This window comes from Homo sapiens, chromosome 6 (assembly GCF_000001405.40).
Source record: "Homo sapiens chromosome 6, GRCh38.p14 Primary Assembly".
In the NCBI taxonomy this organism is placed as follows: domain Eukaryota; kingdom Metazoa; phylum Chordata; class Mammalia; order Primates; family Hominidae; genus Homo; species Homo sapiens.
Window position 1 is genome coordinate 167,526,927 of NC_000006.12, and position 7,959 is coordinate 167,534,885.

Here is a 7,959-nt window from a genome sequence, read left to right on the forward strand (position 1 = left end):
ATCTGTGAAAAATCCTTCGTGGGAGTGGGAGTGACTGGGATCCCGTACGTAGGGTGCATAGTACGTGCCTACACGTACAGCTGGAGCCCAGAATTTTAAAATAACAATGTGAACATCTGATGTAGGAATTGTGGCTTCTTCTGGATGAGCAGGCTTTAAATGCCACGCTCTGTTGGGTGCTTTCTGGGGCCAGAAATCTTGCAAATCAGGGTTTTCTCCAAGGTTCCCATTGAGTTACATGTCACAGGCCCAGTCAGCATATATTTATTGACCAATTAATGTTGCAGGAATATTTACAACTGCTGAACTCCTCAAGTCAGGCATTTCCCCACGATTACTATTTCAAAGTATAATCTTTTCAACTTTCTTTTAAGGGAGGCTGACATTATGCAATTAAATATAACGTGACACGGTGCAATGCTGTTATTTTGTGGGAAAAGTTTTAAAAATGCTATAAAGGGAAAACATTCCAATTTGGTATGAGATTGCAGCAGATTCTGATAACAGTGCCTATCCTATGTTCCAAAGGCAAACCAGCGCATCTCACTCAGAGTTTTTTGAGGCCTATAAGCAAGATGTCAACATAATTTTGTAAAAAGTGGATCTGCACAGGAGGCACCAGAATCCCACTCAACAAACACCAAGAAAAGTCTTGCTGGCTTCATTCATGCTGGGATTGGCCGTGCGTTGCAAGCAGCATGACAGAAGTTAGGGCAAGTGAGTCCACGAATGCGTCCTGGTCTCTGTGTGGACAGCGAAGTGTGTCTCCTGGAAAGCGCTCTTCAGTTCGGATCCCCACACACCTGGGGAAAGAGCTGGTGAGTTCTTCAGGGGGATAGTGATGGGCATCATGATTCAGAGCATTGACAATCAATGTTGAATAAAATAGGTCCAAGGATTAAGCCCCAGGACAAGCCAGAAATCTTCAGAGTCGACATACCCCTATCAGATATAACTGTTCAGCCAGCTCTGAACAGTTACTCAGGTGTGTGAATATTCAGGTGTGTGAATTATTTCTAACCTACATTTCTCCATCTTGTCCTCAGGGAGACTGAGAGCCTGGCTGGAGTTAAGAGGCAGTGAAGCTCCCACACCTCCCAAGCCTGTTCGCACAGGAAATGAGGTCACCTTGGCATGGCTGTTTAAGTGAGCCAATGCTTGTTGCTTTCGTTTCTAGAATTTTCCAAGACATCTTTTTACATCTAAACTAAAATTGTCCACAGATAGACAGCGTTCACTCATCTGTGGTCTCCATGCAACCTTATTCCCATCTCGAAGGCCACACCATCTGTCCATCTCTTTTGTTCTGCTGTCTTCTCTCATTCCTCAAGATTCCACAGGGATTACCTCCAAGGGCTTGGCCATCTCATTTCTAAGATCTTTTAGATCTTCTGGGTCTCACAGCTTAAACTTCCTTATAGACAGCAGATGCCACATATTACTTTCTATTTGAGATTTCAGTTCTCTCAAGTTTGCTCTGCCCTTTCTGTTTGAAGACCATATTTACATAAAGGAGATGGAAAAGAAAGTAGAAATTGAGTCATTCCAGCTTCTTCTCCATCTGTTAACATCATACCATCTGCCCCTTGCTTCTTGCATTAAACAAAACAAAGCAACACAGAGTCTCAGACGATTCTAGACGAAAGCAATGTGGCCCTAGAAGTGGATAAGAAGAATGCAGCCAAAGGTTTTATGAGTTCCTAAAGGCAGAAGAGAGGCTAGGGTGCTGGCTTGGACTCCCTGCAGACCCCAGACACAAGGGGAGCCTGTCTCACTCTCCAGCTCTCTCCACGTGCCTGCAACAACTGCTTGTTCTCACTAGAGGGGAAGGAAAGAGCAGGAGACCCAGGAATGACCCCGGAGGACACGGCAGGACCCAGCCTAACTCCTTCACCTTCTCCAACGTAAAATGGAAGCTGCAAACTGCTGAGAGGGCAGGAAACCCTCCTCAGCCCCAGATCCCAAGCAGAGACCTGTGCATCCTAGTGAGGGGAAAGCATCCACCCTCTGCCTCTGAGCAATCAATGCAGAAGCTCTGGAAGGGATGACTGGTGAGCTCACAGGTTACATACAACGGAATTATAAAAATATGCTCGATGAATCCAAAAGAAGGCAGAAAAAGAGAAAAAAAGAACAAAGGACAAATAGGACACTGCCACAACAATGATCACACAAAACATAAGCGGTCTGAATATTCCAATGAAAAGGCAGAGATCATCAGAGCAGATTAAAAACACGAGACCCACCCATACACCGCCTGTCGGAAACCTACTTTAGAAGACAGCTGGGCAGTGCCCTGGACAGTTAGATGCCATCTTTACATAGAACACAGCATACTATTCTAGGCATTTACTCAGGAGGAATGAAAACATATGTTCATGCAAGTCCTGTATATGAACATCTAAAAGCAGATTTATTCACAATAAAAACAAAAACTGAAAACAATGCCAATGTCCATCCACTGGGAGTGGAAAAACAAATTGCAGTCTCTCTGCTGTGGAGTGCTATTCTGTAGTAAAAAGGAGCAGCTACTCTTGCACACAGTAGCACGGGTGCTCTCAGCGGCAGTGTGCCAGGACACTAGACACAGAGGAACACACGCTACATGATTCCATTTTCATGCCCTTGTGAAAAAGACAAAACCACAGAGGCAGAACTCAGATCAGTGTTTGTCAGGGGCTGGGAACAGGAGGATGTTGATCCAATGCAAAGGGCCTGAGGAAACTTTGTAAAGGGTGGAATATTCTAACCTGGTTACATGAGTACACACCACACTCATCAAATTATATACTAGAAAAGTGTGCATTGTACTGTGTGCAAATGATACCTCAATATGCAAAAATACTTAGGTCATTGTTTTGAAAACTTAATGGGATTTACCTTTCGCTATCTTGCTGGTGTTCATGAAACACTGTTAACTGATTGACTATAAGGAGGTCATTTGAGGGCAGTGGTTCTCTTAGACTAGGACACTGTGCATGTTCTGCTTGTACCTTCCCATGCAAATTCATCTTTCTGCAGAGAGTTAGCCAGTGAGCTTTTTGTCTGAGGCTCTTACTACTAAAAGAAAAACCAGGAGCTGAGCTAGAGCACCCAGAAGCATCCCCTTAGAATGAAATCTGGGAACAAGAAACAGTCGTGAATCATTTGGCCTGTTTTCACATGCCATTGCTTTCAGCGGGAAGTTAAGCTTGAGTTTGCAAGATCAAAGTCCTTTTCATCCTGCTGGTCCACCTGGAAGCTGTGGTTGCTAAGAGAGACCCAGACCCAGGAATCTGGAGCTGTGGAAGCAAACTGTCAATCTCCTGAGCTGGTACCAAAAGCGCCCCGCATGCCTGGCCCCTTGGCTCTCACTCGGATGCATCCTTTTGCCCTCTGTCATCCTTCCTCCACATGACACGGCGACAGAGAAAACAGTAATTTAAAGAGAACTAGAAGGACCTTCGAGGAATGGAGAAGCATCTGTCTTACACACATAAGCTGCTTGAAAATCAAACCTGCCACCAGGCTTGCGTGTTCTTGGAGAGAGACAATGTGGAAATGGCATCAGAGTTTCTGCCTTATGGATAAGCAGAGGTCTCGTGAAGAAAGGCCAGTGCCTGCCACTTTCAGATAAAAAGGAAGGTATTGCCAAAATACACTCTGTGGTTGTAAAGGTAATTTCTGGGGTGAGAAATCCTTAAGGAAGGTACTGCCGAAATACACTCTGTGGTTGCAGAGGTAATTTCTGGAGTGAGAAATCTTTTTAAAGCACTTGATATTCCTTATTTACCTCTTTAAATTGAAGAGTTTTCTTTTAACTAATCTCTTCTGTGAGCTTTTTTCTGTGGCTCTTACCCTTTTCATGGATCGCCCATCGCCTCCACATCTGGTCTACCTCATTTCCCAATCTTATTTTCTAGGATGAAAAAAAAAAGTCTCAGATAGACCAAAGGAGAGCTAGATTCCACTTCAGTCTTTATCTGAACTGAAAAATCCATGATTTCAAAATCAACCCAATATTGTAAACCAAGCACTTATCACTAATTCCACCTGATTTTCTCCCCCACTCCAAGGGAAAAAGGGAAAGTGAGACCTGTAAACTGCCTTTGCCTGTGAAAGAATCTCTTCTAGGTCCTTCAGTGCATGCAGAACTCAGACAGCGGACGCAGCCAGCAGCTGGACCTCTTCATCCACAGGGTTTACCTCACAATAGCTGGCTGCCAAGCCGTTTCTGTACTGCCTAAAGCCGGGGAGCCGTGGCAACCATCGGGGCCGCAGGTGCTCTGACGGTGGCCCACGTTAGGCAGAGGCACTGCCACAGTCCCCTCTCCCGGGAGCGTCATGGGGCAGGAGCAACCAGCACACCTGAGCCCAGAACCCGCATTCTGGGTGTGAAGTGACTCCACCCTGCGCAGAGGGAAGGCGCCGTCGCAAGTGCAGCCTGCATATCACGTGGGGTCTGTTTTTCAGTAAAAAGTAGGTTTGCAACGTGAGATGGTGAAGGAAGTGATTTCTTACCTGTGTGGCTGCAGGTAAGTTAGTGAATCTCTCTGAGCTCAGCTTCCTCATCTGGACAGCAGGACTCCTTCTGTGCTCCAGGGCTTGTGAAAGTTCTCTAGAATGAAGCAGAGTCCCTGTAGGATGGGTAAAGTGCAGGGCAAAACCCAGTCAGTTCCTGTTGTGAGCTCTCCTATGAGAGCCTGTCTTGGTGTAGCAGATTGAAGCACAGATTTGGGGTTCGACAGACCTGGCTACAGGCCCGCTCTGTCATTCATTACACACGTGCTCTTGGGGAAGCAAAGTAACTTTCTCATGCCTCGTTTTCTCCCCGCAGGAAAGAAGAACATTGACACCTGCCGTCGTGGGTTGTTGGGAGGACTAAGTGATATGGGAAGGAGGCAGGGAAGTGCTGGGTAGAGAAAGGTGGGTCCCTGGCTAGAGCTCCACCCTCGGGCCTGTGTCCACAGAGCTAGGTGAGGACAGGCACTCCTGCCTTCACACCCGTATGTTGCATTTCCCAAAACCACCCTGGCCCAGCACGCCCCCAGCCTGTGCCTGTAAAAACCCCAAGACCCAAGCGGCAAGACAGCAAGAGGAGACCGTGAGCGGAAGAACACCCAGGCAGCTGGACGGCCAGAGGCGCACATTGATTGGAGAGCCCGCGGCAGGCACTGAGACACTGGCACGCCGCAGGCTGTTCCTGCGGAACCACGCGGAGTTTGGCCAGGGTGGTGGGAGAGGAGGCCGGCTGCTCAGCAGCCTGACTCCAGGGGAAAACCTTCCCGCTCCATCTCCCTTCTAGCTCCCCCATCTGCTGAGAGCTACCTCCACTCAATCAAACCTTGCACCCATTCTCCAAGCCCAGGTGTGATCCGATTCTTCCAGTACACCAAGGCAAGAGCCCGGTATACAGAAGTCTTGTGTCCTTGTAACAAGGTAGAGGGTCTAATTGAGCTGGTTAACACAAGCCGCCTAGAGACGGCAAAACTGAAAGAGCACACGGTAACACACGCCCACTGGGGCTTCAGAAGCTGTCGACATCCACCCTAGCCACTGTCGTGGGGTCAGAGCCCCACAACCTGCCCATCTGTATGCACCCCTAGAGATCTGGGCAGCGGGGCACTGAAGAAGTGAGCCACTCCGGCTCTCACACGCCCTGCGAGGGGACAAGGAAACCTTTCCTGTTTTATGAGGATAATAATGAAAGCAAAGCTGTAGCGTGGCATCTACCAAAGCACAGAGCTCAGTAAATACTTGCTGCGATTGTAGGATGGCCGGGAAGTCTTCTCCCCGCAAAACCGCAATATTATGTGACGAATACCATGTGACAGGCCTAACCTCTCAAGGAAGATGAGAGAATGCAGTCATCTGACTATTGAGCTATTCTCCACTGACAGAGAGGCCGTTTATTCAGCAGACCTGAAAGACAGAAAAACAATCAGAAAAGTTGAAGTAGTGACTTTTTTAGAAAAACAATATTGTGGATCAAATAAGCTGAACATTCTACATCTTTACAACTAGAAATGCTGAATGAAAAGCATCAATCATCTTTTCAAATATATAGCTTAGCTCACAAGCAAGCAAAATCCACAGAGGCCAGGAATAAAGGGACCAAATGCCAGAGAGGGAGTCTGGGCTGCAGCAGCCCCACAGGAGGGGCGGGAACATCTGCAACTTGGTCTCTAAGTATCCACGTGACATTAGGTCCCTAGGGAGTTGGAAATTAAATCTGAAACCCTAACAGAAAGATGGGGCCCTCCTCAGTAGAAGAGCACACTAAGAAAAATCCCTTTGGCAAACACAGATGGCAAGCAAGCTTATCCCACTTTCCGTGGGCTCCAAAATGGGGGAAAAAAGTGTTCCCTTAAAATTCATTATTGCAGACCTGTTCTCATCTGGGATTGGGGTTCAGATTTTTATTATTTGATGTAATAACCAACCACCACACTTATTGAGACTAGGTTATTTTTTATTGGAAAAAAATCAGCTAATAATGTAAAAAAAAAAAAAGAGGGAATTAGAAAGTCCACCGTCCATAACACTGTTGAAATTATTGATTCAGGCGAGGATTATCAACTGCTGATACAATCATTAGGTTTAAGATTTAAGGAACAAGTACTCTATGGAGTGCCAGACTAACACAGCACACATTGCTCTCTAGTCAAACGAGAGATGGGGAGGGAGGTTAAGAAAGCCCGACCCCAGCCGGACGCGGTGGCTCACGCCTGTAATCCCAGCACTTTGGGAGGCCCAGGTGGGTGGATCACGAGGTCAGGAGTTCAAGATCAGCCTGGCCAAGATGGTGAAATCCCGTCTCCACTAAAAATACAAAAATGAGTCAGGCACAATGGCGGGCACCCGTAATCCCAGCTACTCAGGATGCTGAGGCAGGAGAATCACTTGAACCCGGGAGATGGAGGTTGCAGTGAGCCGAGATCGCACCACTGCATTCTAGCCTGGGCAACAGAACAAGACTCCATCTCCAAAAAAAAAAAAAGAAAGAAAAAGGAAAAAGAAAACCAGACCCAAACATAGAAAAGGCTGCATGTCCTTTCAAAGAAGTACTGAGCCAGTCTATCATGCCCGCCTCAGGATTATCTAATTCTCTAGGGCTGTACGTCTTTGTTGACTCACAGTTTACTATTGATTAGGATATTTAGCAACTCTGTAAGGGCAGGTGTTAAGCTGTAGAAAATTGATTCCATGCAAATGATTCTTTTCTTATACAAACGAACCCATGTCTGATAGAGGTGCAAATGTTGTCACTCTGATGTAAAAGATAACCCCACGTTTACAGTTTCAACATCGTATAAAACATTAACCTTTCTTGTAGCTAATTTAGAAATCTTATCATAACATTATTTTTTTCAGGGGCTATAAATACTTCTGTATTTCCTGTAATTCTTTGAACCAAAATTGCCATGCTCCTTGTTCCCCCAGTCATGGGTTAAATAAGTCTTTGTCATGTACTCACTTCCTATTTGTAAGAATCATCTTTTTGGCTTTTGAAAAATTATATTTGACAAAGCATAATTTTACATTGGAAACATCAGACAATCGTCATCTTAATTCATGTTGTCATTCTTAGCATCCCATAGTATGTGTCTCCTGATTTGATGCGTATGAAGCTCACAACACCCTGATGTATTCAAGCAAATATTCTTAACTTTAATCTATCAAGGTGTTAAAAGTGACAGCCAGGTGTGGTGGCTCACGCCTGTAATCCCAGCACTTTGGGAGGCTGAGGCTTGTGGATCATGAGGTCAGGAGATCAAGACCATCCTGACCAACATGGTGAAACCCCATCTCTACCAAAAATACAAACGTTAGCTGGGTGTGGTGTCGTGTGCCTATAGTCTCAGCTACTCAGAGGGGCTGAAGCAGGGGACTCACTTGAACCCAGGAGGCAGAGGCTGCAGTGAGCTGAGATTGTGCCACTGCACTCCAGCCTGGCGACAGAGTGAGACTCTGTCTCAA

General features: G+C 46.2%; 1 long non-coding RNA gene across 1 annotated transcript; it reads right to left on the reverse strand.

The window, feature by feature from the left end:
* Positions 1–248: 248 nt before the first annotated feature.
* On the reverse strand, positions 249–4,206 carry LOC124901463 (uncharacterized). The gene is made up of 2 exons (XR_007059881.1): positions 4,076–4,206; positions 249–3,898 (listed from the first exon to the last, which is right to left on the reverse strand). It is a non-coding gene; the product is annotated as an uncharacterized LOC124901463 (long non-coding RNA).
* Positions 4,207–7,959: the final 3,753 nt, after the last annotated feature.